Source organism: Homo sapiens, chromosome 1 (genome assembly GCF_000001405.40).
Source record: "Homo sapiens chromosome 1, GRCh38.p14 Primary Assembly".
NCBI lineage: Eukaryota > Metazoa > Chordata > Mammalia > Primates > Hominidae > Homo > Homo sapiens.
This window is the reverse complement of record NC_000001.11, coordinates 120,285,481-120,309,397: the sequence shown is the minus strand read 5'-3', so window position 1 is coordinate 120,309,397 and position 23,917 is coordinate 120,285,481. Positions and strand designations below refer to the sequence as shown.

The 23,917-nt window shown below is 40.7% G+C and overlaps 1 pseudogene, besides 1 other annotated feature; it reads right to left on the bottom strand.

Annotated features, from left to right (window-relative positions):
* LOC100996723 (uncharacterized) overlaps positions 1-23,917 on the bottom strand; it is a 123,106-nt pseudogene that overhangs the window by 10,722 nt on the left and 88,467 nt on the right.
* Positions 1,784-2,285: an enhancer, noted in NCBI's record as "NANOG hESC enhancer chr1:144689698-144690199 (GRCh37/hg19 assembly coordinates)". NCBI's record gives its function as "activates a minimal SCP1, AML or CMV promoter by ChIP-STARR-seq in primed H9 embryonic stem cells {active_cell/tissue: H9 hESC(primed)}" and the evidence as "EXISTENCE:reporter gene assay evidence [ECO:0000049][PMID:30033119]".

The window sequence follows — 23,917 nt, the reverse complement described above, 5'->3', positions numbered from 1 at the left end:
CTCACCTTAGCCAACTTGAACTGTGCCCTCTGATCTGACACAGGATGACAATGACATCAGTCATTACCCAGCAGCCATTTTTTCTGATAACTAGAGTTCTGAGTGATGATAGTTCATGGTGAGATAATTTCCAAGACCTCGCTAGCCATTGGTGGTACTACTCTCCATTAAAGACAAGGGCATTTGCTGATTGAGAAATCAATCATACAAGTGTCCTTGGAGGCCACCAAGGCTTTGCCTGAACTGTTCTCAGCCTATGATGGTTTCTCTTTCTAAACCTGTTCTTCTAGGTTCAGCTCAAACATCCTCTCCTATAGAAACCTTTCCCCAACCTCCCAGTCAGAACTAATAATTTCTTTTCACTTCAACTGTACTTAGTTTATAATTTATATGACTATAATTTAATAACTGAGACTCTTCTGATAGTACAAACAGGTGCTATCATAATTACCTCTGGGCAACAGGCAAAAATCAAGATTGTCCTTAGTAAACCAGGATTCATACCAGGTCATCTGATGTTTACCTCTAGTATAGCACTCACCCGACTCTGCCTTACATTGCTTATTTAAAATGTCTGCCTCCCCTTCTAGGTTTTATAAAAGTTCTTGGCTCACAGTAACTCTTAGTATAAGTTTCTGAAATAAACACTTTGTTATCACTTTTGAATTGATGGCTTACATTTTTGTTTTGGCATTTAACTTCACATTTGTGCATTCATGTGTATGCATTTCAACTCATCTGCAAGCTTATATCCCTCAAAGTTTGCTGCTGGGCTAAGAGCAGCCACTCAAAAAATAATAATAGGCCAGGCGCAGTGGCTCACGCCTGTAATCCCAGCGCTTTGGGAAGCTGAGGCTGGTGGATCACTTGAGGTCAGGAGTTCAAGACCAGCCTGGCCAACATGATGAAACCTCATCTCTACTAAAAATACATAAATTAGCCGGGCGTGGTGGTGGGAGCCCAGCTACTCAGGGCTCCTCAGCTACTCAGCTATTCAGCTACTCAGGAGGCTGAGGCAGGAGAATTGCTTGAACCCAGGAGGCGGAGGTTTCGGTGAGCGAAGATTGCGCCACTGCACTCCAGCCTGGGCAAGAGTGAGATTCCGTCTCAAAAAAATAAATAAATAAATAAAAACAAAAAAGAAATAAATAGTTTTTAAAAAATCTTGACAGCATACCAGCATACATTCATTGATAAAGTCGACAAGAAAGTATTGGAGATTAAAGATTGCCAAAACCTAAGTGCTTTTCTTGGCATCATTGTCCTTGACCTCAAGGAGTTCTCAGTGTAATCAGAGTTGTGTTAAGGTCAGTGAGTGAAGGAAATGGGTACTGCACCTTTGCAAGATAGTAGGAAGCAAGCCCGAGAAGAGCTGGCATTCCACAAAAGAGTCTTTATTTGGGACAAAAATCAATATGACCAAATCCCATCCTAATCAATTCTGTAAACTAAAGGAATTTTTAAAAAATAATTTAGCAGGAGGAAGAGTTTCAAAATCTTGTAGGGAAACCCTGATGTAACTCCTGATTATTCACCCAAAGTGAAAAGTAACTATTAGTGAATGGGTTTTATTTTAAAACGTTTCATTTTTAGAATCTTATCTCTTCTAGGAAAAGTGTAGTACATACATCTTTTTTGTATGCAGAGTGAATTTCTTCTCCAGGCTTCTCTGACATCAATGGGGCAAGGTCATAACTCTATAAAACAGGGAGAAGCACTGAGCATTTTCAGAAAGGACTCTATCTGTCTTGACCAAAAGACAAAGGACTGGTCATTGCAGGATCCCCAGAAATACATTTTAGTAGCTTCCAAGTGAATTCTTTTGTAAATGGAGTTTCACTCCATTCATAAGTTTTAGAGCAAAAATGAAGCCTTAGTGGGTCTAGATATCTGGCTAACATTAACTCCCTGTGTGACCTTAAACTGGTCGTCCCCAGAGCTTTATGCTTTTATACAATTAACTTGAATTACAGCCTCTCCTTCTTGCCCATAAGAATGATAATACCACCTGCATTACTCATCTTTTACGCTTATGTGAGACACCTAGCCACCTATCAGAAGGTATTCAAATGCAAAGCATTAAGTTTTTACACTTTAATGTGAAGTGGAAGAAAGTCTTGATTCAAATGCACAATCTCTACCTTTCTACTGATTCCACATTTGCTGTCTTTTACTAGTGCAGTTAAGTCCCAAATTAGAAACATAAGTCGCCCCAACATGTGACAAATGTCCTTTGTTGCCAGAGAAAGGACAGTGGGGCTGTGTCCTCAGCCTTAGCAACCAGAAGATTCTGCAAGACCAGGACATTCTCCTGCCAGAGCCTGCTTTAGTGTCCAGTCCTGTTCTCCAAAGAGATGGAAAAAACCAAGTGGAAAAGTTTCAGTTTATTCAATATAAGGCTCCACATTCAAATGGCAAAACTGCTCTGTTCAGGTCATATTTCAAGCCCAACCTATGTCAGTCCTTAGTAAAAGCTTCAAAGCAATACCAGTCCTTTCCCAGCCTGGTTTACCTTGATTAGACAAACACAGACACCCATGTCTGAGTAAGCACTGAGACCATGGATGAGTGCTAAGGAGATTAGGTGTTTGGATAGACACAGCTAGGGTGTGTGTATGTGTGTGTGTGTGTGTGTGTGTGTGTGTGTGTGTGTGTGTAGAGAGAGAGAGAGAGACAGAGGCAAAGACAGAGACAGTGCTCATTGGGCAGAGGACAGAGTAGCTGAGATAGTATCATTTGTTTATTCATTTGCTTTTTCATAAAATACTTAGTAAGCACCTACTTGGTATGTGCCGACACTTTAATAGGTACTAGAAAGAGCAAGACAGACAGAATCACAGTCTTCAGAGAATTTACAGCCTATGGGGTTAATTAAACCAATGATTATCATAGCATGTAACAAACAAAAGAGAACCCAGAATCAGCTGTATGGAAATGCACACAGGTGGCAGATATAAATAGCAGCAGATACACGAATCAGTGCGGGTGCATCATATAACTCCTAGCTTTAGTCTCTAAACTTAGGCTCCCACTCAACTCAACTCCTACTCTAACTCAAGATATACCATACCTTGGTTTGCTCTTTCTCTAAGCATCACTGTTCTAGTCTTCTAAGGAACAGGAATATAAATCTACATCTATGTGAAACTACAGCACCCCCAAGGGAAAATAAAGAATCCAGTGCTATTCTAGTAATTTTAGGGTATAGTACAGTACAATGCAAAGTATAGGCTTTTGAACTAAATTGGCCTGGGTTCAAATATGAGCCCTCTTAACATTCTATTAGGTTGAACCATATAAAAATGGAGACATTCAATCATTTTTTTACAGTTTCACGTAGTTCATCTCTGTATTCTAGAGGTAAATCATTTTAACCTAAGTTTCATTTCCTTCTGTTGTTAGTTTTTTTAATGGTGCTAATACCCCTACCTTTCAGGGTTGTAAATGAAAAGATGTTAAAAAAAAAAATACCTGACATATAGTGGGTGTTCAATAAATGTTAGTTTTCCCAAAGACAGTCAGATGCATGAATCATAATAAGAGGTATTTCTGGTCAACACTAAGCTTAAGAATCCAAGAAAAGATATATCAAAATGAGACATCTTTGGGTTTGGATAGTGGGGGAGGCTGTATATACACAGGTATGTATGTAGGGGCAGGGAGTAAATGGGAAATCTCTGGCTCTTCTGCTTAACTTTGCCGTGAGCTTAAAACTGCTCTAAAAAACAAAATCTGACCAGGCCTGGTGGCTCACACTTGTAATCCTAGCACTTTGGGGGGCTGAAGCAGAAGGATCCCTCGAGCCCAGGAGTTTGAGACCAGCCCGGGCAACATAGAAAGACCCTATCTCATTTTAAAAAACTAAAAAATAAAAAATAAAATAAAAAACAAAATCCATTTTTTTAAACAAAAAGAAAAATGAGGGAAAATGAGGTGTTCTGCTTGTTTTATTTAGACTCTGAGCACAGAGTTCCCAAGATACATTCTGCTGTGGTATTCACACTGATCTCCAATTAAACCCTTCTCAGTGTGTCATGAGCTATTCATTCCCTATAGTCACTCTGTTAGAATCTTGGTCGTGTCCCAGAGGCCTCTGTTGATGTGGCCCAACTGAGCTGGCAAGTGAGAAAACATACACATAAATACCCATGATCTCAGCGATTCTCTCCCCTCCCCAGGACATTCCTTAGCAGAACCAATCTCTCTCACTCGGCTGGAGCCTCTCTGTTCACAGATAGGCCTGGCTGGGCTTAATTTAGCAAAGGGCAGGCCCCCTGCAAAAGCCAGGGGTAAGTCTGGAGCCCCTGTAATGCCCCAGGACACCTTGTGTGGAGACAGGAGCCCAGCCCTGCCGAAGGAGCTAAAGGGGATGTTCAGAATGTTTGTTTTTCTCAGCTATTTAGGAACTGGAGCTCACGGGAACCACCCTTTACTTCCTTAACTTCTCACATAAATGTTTTCTTTGGGCAGCAGCTATAGAACTGGAAACTAAGTAAAACCTTACTTTGGAATATAAAAACTATATTAATTTTTCTACAGATAAATTGTTGCATAGGAAACTTGCTAAATATTTTTAAATTATCTGTAACACCTAACATAATCTGACATTTATCCCCAAATTCAGCTTTCAATTCTGGATTGAAACATACTTTGATCTGTTCTCTAAAAAGGACAAAGCCAGTCACTGGTGTTTTGCAAAGTCTGGGACCATTTTTCCTACACAGAATCTCACACAATAAACAGACAAGATATTAGAAACTAAGTTCTAATATCTAGCAGTCACTCCTTCCCTGGAAGCCTGGCTGTGTCCTGAAGCCAGGTCCTATGATCAGGCAACTCTTCTGAAGCTCTGCTTCCACTAGGGACAGCACTTACCCTGTAGACTCTACAGATGTACCATCCAGGATGGCAGGCATGAGCCACATGTGGCTACTGAACCCTTGAGATGTGACTAGTCCAAATCGAAATGTGCTGTAAGGATTTCAGACTTAGCACGCACAGGAGTTCAAAGACTAACTACAACAAAAGAATGTGACATCTCATTAATAATTGTAAAATGTTGATTTCATGTTGAAATGATAATGTTTTAAATGTATTATTAACATTAATTTCACATATTTCTTTTTACTTTTTTTAATGTGGCCATGAGAAAAATTTAAATTACATGTATGGCTTATATTTACGTTGGACAGCACTGTTCTATAAGATGTTAGGAAAAAGATGTATTTGCTTTAAGTACTTTGCATTAAGACATAGTCTGACCTGAATCACAGTTAATCCTGTGGTCTCATAGCATCTTGGAGAGTTTTGTGGGGTGCTGGCATCCATCAACCAACAAAATACCAAAATGACTCTAGGTAATTATAAGTGAAGCAAAACCACTGGGCAGGGATGATAACAGGCACTGTACTTAACAGGAGTCAGCGTATCACAATGCTGCTCGGACTATGTTCAGACACTAAACTCTAAGTGTCATGAGGGCAGGGACTCCCTCTATCTTCTCACCATTGTAGCATTGCTAGCACAATGCCCACACACAGAAGATAATGATATATTTATCAAACAAATGGATGCTGTTCAAAATAAAAATATAGCTCTCTTGAAAAACAATTCTCCCTGCAAGAACTTCCTCTTCTTACTGTTTCTTTTCTCAATTTTTTTGCTTCCTACTTCCACCAACCCCTCTTGCAGAGACTGCTCCATTCCAGTAAAAGGTGAAGGTTCAACTGGAGACCTCCAAAGTCGGCTGGGCCTAGGGTTTGGGTAGGCAATTGCTGGAAGAGCACAGAGAGGGAAAGATTTCAGGCAGTGGTGATAAGAAAAGGCCCACCTGGGTCAGGTGTGGTGGCTCACGCCTGTAATCCCAGCACTTTGGGAGGCCGAGGTGGGCGGATCATGAGGTCAGGAGTTCGAGACCAGCTTGGTCAACATGGTGAAACCCCGTCTCTACTAAAGATACAAAAAAATTAGCCAGGTGTGGTGGTGTGTGCCTGTAATCCCAGCTACTTGGGAGGCTGAGGCAGGAGAATCGCTTGAACCCAGGAGGCAGAGGTTGTAGTGAGCTGAGATTGCACCACTGCACTCCAGCCTGGGCAACAGGGACATACTCCGTCTCAAACAAACAAACAAACAAAAAAACCAGAAGAAAGCACTGGCAGTCTCTTACCGCCATATCAATCCATCTACACATCTCGGGTTACATTCTCTGTCTTTCCACTTATAACCATAGATCAACTATCCATGCTCCTATCTAAAGCCAAACCTTCCACTTATGTATTAATTAAGTCCTATTCCCCCTACCTCTCAAAGGCAACACCTAGAAGGTCTCCCCTGCTTCTCTTTATCAATATTTCACTTTCTAATGGAAAATTCTGTTGGCATACGAACATGCTATTATTCATTTATCTTTCTAGAAATCCCCTATGGACCTCATACCCTTATCAGGTATGCCCCATTCCTTTGCTCTCCTTTGAAACAAAACTCAAAGTAATTATTCATCCTCATTGACTCCAATTCTTCTCCTCACATTGTTTCTTAAACCCACTGCAAGCAGGCTTTTGTCTTCACCACTCCACCAGAATTACTTTAATCAAGATCACTAATGACATCCATGTTGTTAAATCCAAAGGTCAATTCTTTTTTGAGACAGAGTCTTGCTCTGTTGCCCAGGCTGGAGTGCAGTGGTGCAATCTCGGCTCACTGCAACCTCCGCCTCCTGGGTTCAAGTGATTCTCTTGCCTCAGCCTCCTGAGTAGCTGGGATTACAGGCATGCGCCACCATGTCCAGCTAATTTTCGTATTTTCAGTAGAGACCAGGTTTCACCATGTTGGTCAGGCTGGTCTCAAACTCCCGACCTCAAGTGATTGGCCCACCTTGGCCTCCCAAAGTGCTGGGATTACAGGCGTGAGCCACCACGTCTGGCGGGCCAAAGGTCAATTCTTAATCATCGTATTACTCAAGCTCTCAGCAGGATTTCAAAAGGTGGATCCTGTCCTCTTCACTACACACATTCTTCATTTGGCTTCCGGGACTCCAGACTTTTTCTCCTACTTCACTGGTTTGTACCTTCTCTATCTTCCTTTTCTGATTCTTCCTCTTTTCTCCAAATTACTAATGTTGGAGCTATACAGGACCAGTCTCTGGTCCTTTTCTCTTCCACCTGGAAAGGTCTAACTCCAACTCCTTTGGTGATCTCCTATGGTTTCATGGCTTTAAATATTTAAATTTAATATTTAATGATCTATTTGCTGATAACTCCCAAATTTATGTCTCTAGCCCTACTCTATTTCCTGAACTTTAGACTTATGTATTCAACTGCTTACTTAATGCTGCCACATAAAATGTCTAGCAAATAGCTTACACACCAAATTTCCAAAACTGAACCCCTACTCTCCACCTTCAAATCTGCTCCATCCATAGCCTTCCCTATCTCAGTTATGGCAACTCCATCCTTCCAGTTGCTTACTCCAAAAACCCTGGAATTTTCCTTGATTCCTTTATTTCTCTCCCATTCTGTATCCAATCCATTGACAAAATCCTTTTAGATTTGCTACCTTCACCACTTGTTCCCACATGCATCACTATTACCTAAGTCTGATCACTATCAGCCCCTACATACATTACTGCAGTGTCTTCCTAAGAGTCCTCCTGGTGTCTACTTTTGTTCTACAGCCTATTTGCAATACTGTAACCAGATTTATCATTTCAACAAGTCAGACAGGACTGGCATTTGTTAGACCCCTCCTCTGCTCAAAACCCTTCAATAGGTTCCCATGTCACTCTGAGTAAAAGCTGAAGTCTTTAAAATCATCTACAGGGACTTACTACACAAGCCCCATACCCTCTGGGGCCTCATCTTCCAGCATGCTTAATCTTGATTATGCTGCATCAGCCACAGTGGCTTTCCTGATGTTTCTCTGCCTGGAATATTCTTCCCCCAGTTCTCTGTTTGACCAACTTCGTCATCTCCTTCAAGTTGCTATTTGAAAATTATTTTCTATGGCATAGCCACTTTGAAAAATAGTTAGACAGTATCTATTCAGAAAATAGGCAGAAATACCGACTGGGCATCCCTAATCTAAAAATTCAAAATCCAGCATGTTCCAAAATCCAAAACTTTTTGAGGACCAACATGATACCTCAGGTGGAAAGCTCCATACCTGACCTCATGAAAGGTTGCAGCAAAAATGCAGGCACAACACCCAGTTTATTCAGCATCCCCAAGAGAAAAACATAATTACCTTCAGGCTATGTGTACAAGGTGTATATGAAACATAAATAAATTTCATGTTTAGACTTGGGTCCCATCCCCAAGATATCTCATTATGTATATGCAAATATTTCAAAATCTGAACACATCTGAAAATCTTCTGGTTCAAGCATTTCAGATAAGAGATATTTAATCTATATATACTTATTATATAACCTAACAGTTCCACTACTGGGCATTTACCCAAAAGAAATAAAACAAAGACTTGTTACATGAATATTCATAGCAGCTTAATCCATAATAGCCTGTTACTGAACACAACTCATACATTCATCAACAAATGAATGAATAAACAAATTGTATTATATTCATACAATGGAATACTACTCAGCAATAAAAATGAATGTACTACTGATACAAATAGCATGGATGAAACTCAAAATCATTATTCTAAGAGCCAGATACTATAGTCTGTATTTTATGATTCACTTTCAATGAAATTCTACAATAGACAGAACTATCTATCAACAGAAAGCAGATCAGTGGTTTTCTGCAGCCAGAGGTATGAAAGGTTTGAAACATGTGGCACCAGTAGGACATATGGAAACTTTTTTGGTGTGATGGAAGTATTTTTTTATCTTGATTGTGTGGTGTTTGTTATACAGTGGTATACATTTGTTAAAATTTATCTAACTGCATACTTAATAAAGTTTATTTAAACAAAACATGAAAGGAAAAACTAAAATGACATAGCAAGTGGCAATGCAAACTGCCAAGTGCAAAGAATGAGTAAAGAGCTTGGTTGGCATGGAGACTACCAGTCTAGGATGCTTTCATTGCCTCAGGTCAGCTTGGAAGGCCATAAAGGCTGTGAAGGTAAACCTAGAAACAAATCTTCCTGCACTGGTAACTGTCATGTTTATTTGCTTCTCTTTCCATCCCATCCTTTCAAAAAAAAAAAAGTAAAAGGTAGTGTGGTCCACAAACTACAGTGTGGCTCCCCATGATCCCCGCCTCTTGGTGTTTGTGCCCTTGTGTAACTCCTTCTCTTTGGGTATGAGCAGGCCCTGCGACTTACTTCTAACCAATAGAATATGGCAAAGGTGAAAGAATGTCACTCCTGTGATTATATTAAATTTCAAGGCTCTCTTGCTTGCAGATTTGCTCTAGAGCCTCTCCTTGCTGACTTGAAGTGGCCATATGGGGAAAGCTCACATGGCAAGGAACACTAGGTGACTTCAAGGAACCCTGGACAGCCTCTAGCCAACCTCTGGCAAGAAGTCAAGGCCCTCAGTCCTACTGCTACAAAGAAATGGATTCTGTTGACAGCCCAAGTGAGCTCTGAGTCAGATTCCTCAGTCAAGCCTCTAGAGGAGAATGCAGCCTGGCCAATACCTTGGCTGTAGCCTAGGGAGACCCTAAGCAGACAACCCAGCTAAGCGGTGCCTGGATTCCTGACCCACACACACTGTGAGATAATAAATGTGTTGGGGGGTGAAGGAGGGATAGGGGTAGGGGTGGCTGTGCATTTGGGTATGGAAGGGTGTTTTAAATCACTTTCTAAACACGGCCTCTCCTGGCCACTCCTTAATACTGCAACCTGCTCTCCACTCCTGTAATTTTTTTCTCAACATTTGTTTTAGGTTCAGGGGGTACATGTGCAGGTTTGTTACATGGGTAACTTGCATGTTGCGGAGGTTTGGTGTATGAATGAACCCATCACGCAGGTAGTAAGTATAGTACCCAATAGTTAGCTTTTCAACCCTCTCCCCCCTTCTACCTTCCACTGGGGTAGGCCCCAGTGCTTATTGTTCCCATCTTTGTGTCCATGTCTCAAAGTTTTGCTCTCACTTATAAGTGAGAACATGCAGTATTTGGTTTTCTGTGCCTGTGTTAATTAGCTTAGGATAATGGCCTCCAGCTGCATCTCTTTTGCTGCAGAAGACATGATTTCATTCTTTTAATGGATGCATAGTATTCCGTGCTTTATATGTACCGTATTTTTCCTCCCCAGTCTACTGTTGATGTGTATCTAGGTTGATTCCATGCCTTTGCTATTGTGGATAGTGCTGCAGTGAACATGTAAGTGCATGTGTCTTTTTGGTAGAACAATTTATTTTCCTTTGGGTATATATCCAGTAATGGGATTGCTGGGTCAAATGGTAGTTTTCTTTTAAATTCTTTGAGAAATCACCAAACTGCTTTCCGCAGTGACTGAACTAATTTACATTCTCACCAACAGCGTATAAGCACTTTTCTCTACAACCTTGCCAACACCTTATTTTTTGTTTTTCACAGTAGGCATTCTGACTGGTGTGCAATGGTGTCTCATTGTGGTTTTGACTTGCATTTCTCTAATGATTAGTGATATTGAGCATGAGAATTTTTTCAAATATTTGTTGGCCCCATGTATGTCTTCCGTTCATGTCCTTTGCCCATTTTTTAGTTGGGACAAGGTCTCGATCTGTTGCCCAGGAGTGCAGTCTGATCACTGGAGTTCAGTGATGCAAACACAGCTCACTGCAGCCTTGACCTCCTAGGCTCTAGCAATCCTTCCACCACTGCCTCCCAAAGTGCTGGAGTTTCAGATTTGAGCCACCACACCTTTGCTCATTTTTGAAGTGGGGCAAGACCCCCACTTCGTAGGACTATTACTTGATTGAGATTAAATATGTGTAAAATGCATAACATGGTGCCTGGCTTATAGTAAACACTAAATGGATTTCTTCTTCCATAGGATTTAAATAGGGAGCAATTTTTTTTCTATCAAGAGCTGATCAGAAATAAATGGGAAGCATTTAAATGCTCTCCTTCCCTTGCCCCAAGAGGACTTTCACTTTCCAACATTCTACATACTTTATTTATAATATTTATTGTTTATTTTCTGTCTACTCATGACAGACTATAAGTTCTATGAGGATGGGAATGCCTGTATGTGCTTATTATATGACCTAACAGTTCCACTACTGGGTATTTACCCAAAAGAAATAAAACAAAGACTTATACATGAATATATTGATATATACTCCAGTCACCTCCAATAGAATCTAGAACACAGTAGGGGCTTAGTACATATTTTTAAATGAATGAAGACTAATGTTTAGTTTAAACTAGGATTGACCTATTCTTATCCTCGGCAGGGACAGAGAATAACTAATTACCACTTGTCACATATTGAGACTTCAGTACCTAAAAGGCACTATTAGGTCACCTGTAAGTCTGTTTTCCCCCAAAGTAAAAATCCCAATTCCATTGCCCTTTTCACATAAGCCTCATTTTCTAACCTTTTTAGTTTGGTTTAATGAATTTCCTATTTCCTCTGAATTCTAGAGTTCCAAACCAGACTCAGCACAAGCCTAACAGGGCAACCTATACAGATAAGGACAGCCCAGGCACATTGCACACGGCAAGTTGCACCTGTTTTAAGAGTAAAAATGAGGTCAATGCCACCTTGTACTGCAGGTACCTCAATGAGACAATGCCACCCCTTCCTGCCACAATCTTGGCAAAAGTCACTACGAAAGTAAATATCATTTTACTAGAGTCCTTTCTTTCTCTCCAGTGAATAACACAATGTAGTTATTCACTGGAAAACATCATTTGCATTTGAAAGAGTTACTAACTAAATTCTAAAGAATGTACCAAAGCCTTGCTTAACTGTAGAATGAGGCCACACGGCTGCTGGGATACCAGGTACTCTCCCTGAGCCTATTGATGGCAAATTTCATCCTGTGAAAAATGGGAACAAGACACCCACTTCATAGGACTATTATATGGTTGAAATTAAATATGTGTAAGATGCATAACATGGTGCCTGGCACACAGTAAACACAAAACAGATTTCTTCCTCTATAGCATTTAAATGGGAAGTGTTTAGCGTTTACTTGCCATGTGCATGAGTGAATTTGGGAAAAGTGGGGGGAGGATATGGGGCAAAGAAGGACAGAAAGGGCCTAAGAGTAGGAAGAATTTAATACCAGAAGATGGGACAAGACCTGGGTCTAGAAACCTCTTCTGCAGATAAAGTAGCTGCAAATTATAGGGAAGGAGTCCTCAGGCTGCTTTCCTTATAACCATTTATTTTCCTGCACCTTACATCAAGAACGTTAGGCACTGGTTAAGACCCTGTCCCCTTGCAGCAGTAGAGAAAACAGGAGGAAGGAGACGGGAGGTAGAAATTTGGAAGCTAGCAGTTGAAGGCCAACTCAGAAAGCGTCAGGTGGAATTCCATTCCTAATTGACATCACCATCCTCTAACTGCAGCAATTCTCTCCAGCCCTTTTATGTGCTCCCTACAGAACCAAGCTTCCACACAGCTGAAGGAACCTGTCTGCTCTCACCCCAGCTTCACAGAAGATGGCAGGGACTGGTTATTACTAACCTGCCTCCTAGTCTTCTGAGGCTCCAAATGGTTTTGTCAGCAAGCTGAGCTTCCCCACAATCCCACAGACTAGAAGGGGTTGGAAAGAACAAGCCTTAGTACAATACTGCTCCCCACCTCTAAGGGATCTGCTCCTCTGAGTCCCAGAAGTTCACCACCTTCATTTGATTTCTGCTACAGGAAGACTCTGGGAATCCAGCTCTGGACCCAGCACTTCCTGATTTTTGAAGTAGAGAGTTGACAACCCTGTTGTCATCAATACAACTGTGCTAGGTGGGTGGGAAAGGAAAATATCTTGGGCTCCCAAAATCACTAAGCTAAAAGGAAAACTCAGGATCATGCTGGATGGAAGTCAGGACTAGATTGCAGCTCCGACTCGGATGGACAGAGAAGCATGTGGAGGCTCGTATCATGAATTTTTGCTCCAGAACGACTGGAGGAATAAATTACAAAACCTCAGAGGACCCACAGGCCCCCTGAAGGAAGCAGATGGCTCCTGCAGGACCCAGGAGACACACCAAATACTGTGTTAGTATTTACTTATAGAAATGCAAAATGGTCTGGAAAGTCTCAGCCATAGAATCAAACAAGTAGAAGAAAGAAATTCAGAGCTTGAACACAAAGTCTTCAATTTGACCCAATCCAACAAAGACAAAGAAAAACAAATAAGAAAATATGAACAAAGCCTCCAAAAACTCTGGGATTATGTTAAATGACCAAACCTAAGAATAATTGGCATTGCTGAGGAAGAAGAGAAATCTAAAAGTTTGAAAAACATATTTGGGGGAATAATTGAGGAAAATTTCCCCAACCTTGCTAGAGACCTAAACAAATACAAGAAGCACAAAGAACACCTGGGAAATTTATTGCAAAGAGATCGTCACCTAGGCACATTGTCATCAGGTTATCTAAAGTTAAGACAAAAGAAAGAATCTTAAGAGCTGTGAGACAAAAGAACCCAGTAACCTATGAAGGAAAACCTGTCAGATTAACAGCAGATTTCTCAGCAGGAATCCTACAAGCCAGAAGGGATTGGGCCCCTATCTTCAGCATCCTAAAACAAAACAATTATTAGCTGAGAATTTTGTATCCAGTGAAACTAAGCTTCATATACGAAGAGAAGATACAGTATTTTTCAGACAAACAAATGCTGAGAGAATTTGCCACTACCATGCCAGCGCTACAAGAATTGCTAAAAGAAGCTTCAAATCTTGAAACAAAACCTGGAAACACATCAAAACAGAACCTCTTTAAAATATAAATCTCACAGGACCTATAAAACAAAAATACAATTCAAAAAAACAAAAACAAAACCCAAAAAACCAAGGTATACAGGCAACAAAAAGCACAATGAACGGAATGGTACCTCACATCCCAATACTAACATTGAATGTAAATGGCCGAAATGCGCCACTTAAAAGATACGGAATTGCAGAATGGATAAGAATTAACCGACCAACTATCTGCTGCCTTTAAGAGACTCACCTAACACATAAGAGACTTATCTGACACATAAGGACTCACATAAACTTAAGGTAAAGGGGTGGAAAAAGACATTTCATGCAAATGGACACCAAAAGCAAAAGCAAGCAGAAGTAACTATTGTTTTTTTGGTTTTTTTGAGATGGAGTTTCACTCTTGTAGTCCAGGCTGGAGTGCAATGGCGCGATCTTGGCTCACTGCAACCTCCACCTCCCAGGTTCAAGCAATTCTCCTGTGTCAGCTTCCCAAGTAGCTGGAACTACAGGTGTGCACCACCATGCCCAGCTAATTTTTGTATTTTTAGTACAGATAGGTTTAGTACAGGCAGGGGTGATCTGCCTGCCTTGGCCTCCCAAAGTGCTAGGATTACAGGCATAAGCCACCGTGCCTGGCCCAGCAGTAGTTATTCTTATATCAGACAAAACAAACTTTAAAGAAATTGCAGTTAAAAAAGACAAAGAGCGGCATTATATAATGATAAAAGGCCTTGTCCAACAGGAAAATATCACAATCCTAAACATATATGCACCTAACACTGGAGCTCCCAAATTTATAAAACCATCACTAATAGACCTAAGAAATGAGATAGACAGTAACACAATAATAGTGGGGGACTTCAATATGTCACTGACAGCACTAGACAGGCCAATGAGACAGAAAGTCAACAAAGAAACAATGGATTTAAACTATACCCTGGAACACATGGACTTAAGACATATATACAGAACATTCCATCCAACAACTGCAGAATATACATTCTATTCAACAGTGCCTGGAACTTTCTCCAAGATAGACCACATGGTAGGCCACAAAACAAGCCGCAATAAATTTAAGAAAATTGAAATTATATCAAGCACTCTCTCAGACCACAGTGGAATAAAACTGGAAATCAACTCCAAAAGGAGCTTTCAAAACCATGCAAATACATGGAAATTAACCTGCTCCTGAATGATCATGAAATCGAGATGGAAATTAAAAAAATCTTCAAATTGAACAAAAATAGTGATACAACCTATCAAAACTTCTGGAATACAGCAAAGTCAGTGCTAAAAGGAAAGTTCATATTCCTAAACACCTACATCAAAAAGTCTAAAAGAGCACAAACAGACAATCAAAGGTCACACTTCAAGGAACTAGAGAAACAAGAACAAACCAAACCCAAACCAGCAGAAGAAAGGAAATAACCAAGATCAGAGCAGAACTAAATGAAACTGAAACAAACAAACAAAAAATACAAAAGATAAATGAAATGAAAACCTGGTTCTTTGAAAAGATAAATAAAGCTGCCGGGCGTGGTGGCTCACGCCTGTAATCCCAGCACTTTGGGAGGCCAAGGTGGGTGGATCACAAGGTCAGGAGATCAAGACCATTCTGGCTAACATGGTGAAGCCCCGTCTCTACTAAAAATACAAAAAAGGTGTAAGGAAAGGATCCAGTTTCAGCTTTCTACATATGGCTAGCCAGTTTTCCCAGCACCATTTATTAAATAGGGAATCCTTTCCCCATTGCTTGTTTTTCTCAGGTTTGTCAAAGATCAGATAGTTGTAGATATGCGGCATTATTTATAGGTGGGAATTGAACAATGAGAACACATGGACACAGGAGGGGGAACATCACACTCTAGGGACTGTTGTGGGGTGGGGGGAGGGGGGAGGGATAGCATTAGGAGATATACCTAATGCTAAATGACGAGTTAATGGGTGCAGCACACCAGCATGGCACATGTATACATATGTAGCTAACCTGCACGTTGTGCACATGTACCCTAAAACTTAAAGTATAATAATAATAAAATAAAATAAATAAAAAATAAAAAATAAAAATAAAAATACAAAAAATTAGCCGGACGCCATGGTGGGCACCTGTAGTCCCAGCTACTCGGGAGGCTGAGGCAGGAGAATGGCATGAACCCGGGAGGCGGAGCTTGTAGTGAGCCGAGATCACACCACTGCACTCCAGCCTAGGCGACAGAGCAAGACTCCATCTCAAAAAAAAAAAAAAAAAAAAAAAAAAAACCTAGAAGAGATGGATAAATTCCTGGAAAGATACAACCCTCCTAGCTTAAATCAGGAAGAATTAGATACTCTGAACAGACCAATAACAAGCAACAAGATTGAAATGGTAATGTAAACATTACCAACAAAAATAGTCCAGGACCGGATGGATTCACAGCAGAATGTAACCAGGCATTCAAAGAATTGGTACCAATCCTATTGACACTATTTCATAGGATTGAGAAAGAGGGAACCCTCCCTAAATCATTCTATGAAGCCAGCATCACCCTAATACCAAAACCAGAAAAGGACATAACCAAAAAAGAAAACTGCAGACCAATATCCTTGATGAACATCGATACTAAAATCCTTAACAAAATACTAGCTAACCGAATCCAACAACATATCAAAAATATAATCCACCGTGATCAAGTGGGTTTCATACCAGGGATGCAGGGAGGTTTAACATACGCAAGTCAATAAATGTGGTACACCACATAAACAAAATTAAAAACAAAAATCACCATGATCATCTCAATAGATGCAGAATAAGCATTTGACAAAATCCAGCATCCCCTTATGATTAAAACTCTCAGCAAAATCAGCATACAAGGGACATATCTCAATGTAATAAAAGCCATCTATGACAAACCCACGGCCAACGTAATAATGACTGGGGGAAAAGTTAAAAGCATTTCCTCTGAGAACTGAAACAAGACAAGGATGCCCACTCACACCACTCCTCTTCAACATAGTTCTGGAAGTCCTAGCCAGAGCAAGACAAGAGAAAGAAATAAAGGGGATCCAAATTGTTATAGAGGAAGTCAAACTGTCACTATTTGCTGATGATATTATTGTTTACTTAGAAAATCCTAGAGTCCTCCAGAAAGCTCCTAGAACTCATAAAACAATTCAGCAAAATTTCTGGATACAAAATTAATGCATGCGAATCAGTAGCTCTTCTATACACCAACAGCGACCAAGCTGAGAATCAAATCAAGAACTCAACCCCTTTTACAACAGCTGCAAAAAATAAAATAAAATAAAATACTTAGGAATATACCTAACCAAGGAGGTGAAAGACCTCTACAAGGAAAACTACAAAACACTGCCGAAGGAAATCATAGACGACACAAATGAATGGAAACACATCCCATGCTCATGGATGGGTAGAATCAATATTGTGAAAATGACCATACTGCCAAAAGCAATCTACAAATTTAACACAATTCCCTTCAAAATACCGCCATCATTCTTTACAGAATTAGAAAAAACAATTCTAAAACTCATATGGAACCAAAAAGGAGCCCGCATAGCCAAAGAAAGACTAAGCAAAAAGAATAAATCTATAGGCATCACATTACCTGATTTCAAACTATACTATAAGGCCATAGTCACCAAAACAGCATGATACTGGCATAAAAATAGGCACAGAGACCAATGGAACAGAATAGATAACCCATAAATAAACTCAAATACTTACAGCCAACTGATCTTCGACAAAGCAAACAAAAACATAAAGTGGGGAAAGGACACCCTTTTCAACAAATGGTGCTGGGATAATTGGCTAGCCACATGTAAGAGAACTAAACTGGATCCTCATCTCTCACCTTACACAGAAATCAGCTCAAGATGGATTAAGGATTTAAATCTAAGTTCTGAAACTATAAAAATTCTAGAAGGTATCATCGAAAAAACCCTTATAGACATTGGCTTAGGCAAGGATTTCATGACCAAGAACCCAAAAGCAAATGCAATAAAAACAAAGACAAACAGCTGGGACTTAATTAAACTAAAGAGCTTTTGCACGGCAAAAGGAACAGTCAGCAGAGTAAACAGACAACCCACAGAGTGGGAGAAAATCTTCACAGTCTGTACATCTGACAAAGGACTAACATCCAGAATCTACAACAAGCTCAAACAAATCAGCAAGAAAAAACAAACAATCCCATCATAAAGTGGGCTAAGGACATGAATAGACAGTTCTCAAAAGAAGATATACAAATGGCCAACAAACATATGAAAAAAGGCTCAACATCGCTAATAATCAGGGAAATGCAAATCAAAACCACAATGTGATACCACCTTACTCCTGCAAGACTGGCCATAATCAAAAAAATAAAAAAATAGTAGATATGGATGTGGATGCAGTGAACAGGGAACACTTCTACACTGCTTGTGGGAATGTAAACTAGTACAGCCACTATGGAAAACAATGTGGAGATTCCTTAAAAAACTAAAAGTAGAACTACCATTTGATCCAGCAATCCCACTACAGGGTATCTACCTAGAGGAAAAGAAGTCATTATACAAAAAAGATACTTGAACACGCATACGTATAGCAGCACAGTTCACAACTGCAAAAACGTGGAACCAACCCAAGTGCCCACCAATCAATGAGTGGATAAAGTAACTGTGGTGTGTATACACACACATATATATATATATGATGGATATATATATATATATATATATATATATATATATATATATATGAGATAGAATACTACTCAGCCAATAAAAGGAATAAATTAACGCATTCACAATGATCTGGATGAGATTGGAGACTATCATTCTAAGTGAAGTAAGGCAGGAAAGGAAAACCAAACATTGTATGTTCTCACTCATAAGTGGGAGCTAAGCTATAAGGATACAAAGGCATAAGAATGACACAGTGGACTTTGGGGACTCAAGGGGAAAGGGTGGGAAGTGGGTGAGGGATAAAAGATCACAAATAGGGTGCAGTATATACTGCTTGGGTGATGGGTGCACCAAAATCTCACAAATCACCACTAAAGAAATTACTCATGTAACCAAACACCATCTGTTCCCCAATAACCTATGGAAATGAAAATACAAAAAATAAAAGGAAAACTCAAGCTGGAAACTGTTTAGGGCAAACCTGCCTCCCATTCTATTCAAAGTTATCTCTCTGCTCACTGAGATAAATGCATATCTGATTGCCTCCTTTGGAAAGGCTAATTAGAAACTCAAAAGAATGCAACCTTTTGTCTCTCTTCTGTGACCTAGAAGCCGCCTCCCCCACTGCAAGTTTTCCTGCCTTTGCTTCAAGTTGTCCCGCCTTTCCAGACCGAACCAAGGTACTTCTTACATACATTGATTGATGTCTCATGTCTCCCTAGAATGTACAAAACCAAGCTGTGCCCCAAACACCTTGGTCACATGTCATAAAGACTTCCTGAGGCTATGCCAGGGGCATGTGTCCTCAACCTTGGCAAAATAAACTTTCTAAATTTACTGAGACCTGTCTCAAATTTTCGGAGTTCACAGTGGGCAAGACTAGATTTACTTTTGTGTTGAGCAGATACTGAGCTTGACTGATAAGAATCTGGAGTGTGAGGTCTCACGGAGTAACTCTGATAGAGGAAGCTACCTGTGTGGTCTCAGGGAGAAGATCTGAGACTTACCAAGAAAAAGTGACCTGAAAGAACTGGCTGACTTCAGGCCCTTGACCAGTGCCTAGACCCTCTTTCTGCAGCTCCAGATCATAGCCATCATGCTGGCAGCCTCCCTGCCGCTCATCCAGGCACCTTAAAGAAGGGCTTCCTCTTCCCAAGCCTCTGGGTGGGCTTTCTAAAGCCCTGTGTGCATGAAGAGGTGGCTTGTAGCCCTTTGCAGCAGCAGGGCTTACATGAGGCTGGGATATGAAAAGCTGGCATTACAATGCAGCTTGTGCCTTGCATTCACTCCCCACTTCATCAAGCCAAGTTTCTAAATAACAGGGATAGTAACTGCCCACTGTGGCCCAATGTCACTTCTAAAGTTGCTTGGCAAAAAGCCACATGACTATTACTTAGCTCTCCACAGAACGGCATGTACCAAGTCGGATCACTGCTGTCGGTGTGTGGGTGGATTAGCTGCTATTGAACATGATAGGGCGGGCCCCTTTCCAGTTTGCACCAGCCTCGCTCTGTGCCTACTCCATGTATCATAGAGCCTCCTCTCTCTGTGCAGTTGAACTTGATCAGATGAGATGGCAAAAGCCAGAGCAGGGAGCAAGGCAAAAGAGAAAAATATGTTCACGGTGACTTTTGAAAACATATGGATGAAACTCCTGAGGAGGCTGAGGAACTAAACCTTTTCTTTTGGCAGTAGGCACAGAGTGCAGATTCATCTCTCTGTAATTACTCTAGCTCCTGCTGTGTGAGTTCTATTTTAGCCCAGTAATGCAAAAAGAAAGAAAAACTAAGTTCTGACAAGCACTTACATTTCTTGAATTTTTGTTGAAGGTCCCAGAGGTCATTGTAAGCAGCCTGAACAGGTAGTTAGGGCTCCTGGATTCTAGTCTCAGCTTGGCTACTAATTTACCGTGTGACGTTAGGCAAATTACTATTCTGAGCTTTAGTCATCTTATCTTTAAAATGAAGGGTTTATTCTTTAGAGGAAGCTGAGTGAATGGCATATGGGAACACTCTGTACTATTTTTATAACTTTGCTATAAGTCTAAAATTATTTTTAAATAAATGGTTTTCTTAAAAAGTGAAAGGATTATGTAGATTATCTTCAAGATCCTCTCTACCTCTGAATAATGATTTTATGTTCTTACTTATCTTCCTTCAGGTGAAAGTAAGTCTCTTTCCAGCTATCCAAACATATAACAGAGTGGAATTTTTCCTCACTCCTTCTGCCCCAGGCAAGATGTTGATCAGCCCCAACACAAACCTGTTTTCTGCTTTAAACATATCCTATACCTAGGGCAAAATTTAAATTATCTAAAACACATTTAAAAACACCCCATCCATACCCACTTTGTTCTTTCAAACAAGTAAATTCACCCAGCAGGGAAAAGCTGTTGCTGGCAGTCCATGCTTACAGAATCTCAGCCTTGCCCTAGCAACGAGGCTAATTATAACTCCGGCTACCTGGTAACCGCACTAGATTTCCCTGCATTGGCTGGCAGTTCTAAAGCCATCTCAGCTCTGCCTGCCACCTCCCATCCTGAGAAGCTGTCAGAGAAGCTGAGAAACTATGAGTCTCTTTTAAGCAACTATCTAAGCTGTGGTGAGAACACCCATGTATCATAGAGCTTCCTTTCTCTGCGCCCAGAGAAAGGCTGCCCAGAATCACGGGACTTCAGAACTGGGAGGGATGTGTGCGTCAATCCTGGTCCAGCCCACTCATTTAAACACAAAGAACCAGAAGCCCAGAAAAAGTGACTTGCCTTAGCCTGGCCTTCCTCTTGATTCCTTTCCCTCAATTCTCCCATCCTGATCAATCATCAAGTCCTACAAATATTTTACCTCTTAAATATTTTAAAGATGAGTTGCCTCCCCTCTATTCCTACTGCCACAGCCCTCATTCGGGCCTTCATCTTCTTTGGCTTGGCAAGTCTGTTCTCACTCACTTCCTGCCTTGACTCTCTTGAATCCACCTTTCCCATGCATCAGAGGGATCTAGCAGGTTCCCTGCAGCTTAAAGCCCATCAGTGGTGCCTTGTCTTCCTCAGGATAAAGTCTACAATCTTTAAAATGGCACAAAAGACTGTGTCCGTCATATCAGTCTCATTCTTCGCCTAGTACTTAAATCCACCAACACTAAACCACTTCTAATTCTGTGCAAGCACCCTATGGTTTCTTGCCTCAAGGCTTTTGCTTGTGACAAAAACTCTGTCCTTCCACTTCATCATCCATTGACTGATTAGTGCTTATTCCCCTTTGAAGACGAAGTTCAGGGGTCATCACGAATAATCCTTTGCAGATTTTCTTTCCATCCACTCTATTCATTTGGGATAGAAGTGCCCCCTTTGAGTTTCCTTACACTTTGTACACAGCTCTGTTACTGCCTTTTACTATACTCTAGCACCTGTGGTTTGCTCATCTTTGAAGTCCCAACTTCTAGTACTTGGAACATAGCAGGTACCTAATTAATGTTTATTAATGAATGAATGGATAAGTCCAAAGCTTTCCATGATTTCTCCCCTGCAGCCTCATCTTACCACCACCACAAGCCCTCCAAACCACATGATCTAGCCATACAGAATGATTCCAGTGTGCCAAGTGCACATTGCTTTTGTACACCTCTGCTTTTGTATATTGTTTCTTCTGTTTGAAATGCCTTTTCCCACCAGGCGCGGTGGCTCACACGTATAATCCCAGCACTTTGGGAGGCCGAGGTGGGTGGATTACCTGAGGTAAGGAGTTTGAGACCACCCTGGCCAGCATGGCGAAACCCCATCTCTACTAAAAATACAAAAATTAGCCGGGCATGGTGACACACGCCTGTAATCCCAGCTACTTGGGAGGCTAAGGCAGGAGAATCGCTTGAGCCCAGGAGACGGAGGTTGCAGTGAGCCGAGATCATGCCACTGCACTCCAGCCTGGCTGACAGAGCAAGACTCTGTCTCAAAGAAAAAAAAAAAGAATTTCTGGATTTTCCAGGCATGGTGGCTCATGCCTGTAATCTCAGCACTTTGGGAGGCCGAAGTGGGTGGATCACGAGGTCAAGAGATTGAGACCAGCCTGGCTAACGTGGTGAAAACCCGTCTCTACTAAAAATATGAAAAATTAGCGTATGTTTCACAGCATCTGTAATCCCAGCTACTCAGGAGGCTGGGGCAGGAGAATCGCTTGAACCTGGGAGGTGGAGATTGCAGCAAGCCAAGATGGCGCCACTGCACTCCAGCCTGGGCCACAAAGTGAGACTCCATCTCAAAAAAAAAAAAAAAAAAGAAGAAAAAAGAAATGCCTTTTCCCATTTCTTGTTATGTTACTACCTTTTAGGATTCAATGCAAACTTCAAACACTTGGCAAGGCCTTTCCTGGTGGATTTTATTGCACTATAGCATAATCTGTCCATACCTCTATGGTAGCCCTTATTATACCATTTTTATTTATTTGTTGATGTCTTCTCCACCAGAATCTAGCACAGTAGCTGGCATATAGTAGATAATCAATAGACATTCGACTGAATATACCAATGCATATGTGCAAATATGAGCAAAAAAATGACTAAAATGATATTGCAAACAAGGGAAACATTTGAGACAGAAATTTAGAATGTCTATTTTTTTCAAGTGTAACATGCTACTTCTATCAGTGCATAAACCTGAATGTACATACACTATAGAAAGAAGTGGCCTTGTAATAAGTTCATGCAGAAGTATAAATTATGTAGACATTGTTAGGGGGATAACTGAAAGTGGATTAGAATTAAATTAGGGCCCAGAATTTAGTCTGGGATTTGTTTTCCAGTGGTTGAAAGAAAAATTCCTAAGTATTCAAAGGGAAGAAGCATTTCTCAACAGGCAAGTATTATGAATTCTAATTAAAAGCTCTGAAAAAATGAGATAAGTTGTGTTAAGGAAAAGCAGAAAACAGAGTTGCCTTTGGTTAAGAGTTCCACTATTTTTATAAGCAACTGACTTTTTGGGGAAAGTTGCTTTAAGCATTTTTTTTTCTGTGTGTATGTGTGAGATGGGGTCTCACTCTGTCACCCAGGCTAGAATGCAGGAGCACAATCATGGCTCACTGCAGCCTCAACCTTCTGGGCTCAAGCAATCCTCCCACCTCAGCCTCCCAAGTAGCTGGTATCACAGCCACACACCACTATGTCAGCTAATTAAAAAAAAAAAAAATTTACAGAGATGCAGTCTTGCTATGTTTCCCAGGCTGGTCTCAAACTCCTGGGCTCAAGTGATCCTCCCACCTTGGCCTTGCGAAGTGCTGGGATTACTGACATGCGCCAACATGCCAGGCCTAAACATTTTGTGTGTGTGTGTTAAAATATACATATAATAAAATTTGCCATTTTAACTATTTTAAAGTATATAGTTCTATGGCATTAAGTACATTCACATAGTTGTTCAAATATCACTATCCATCTCCAGAACT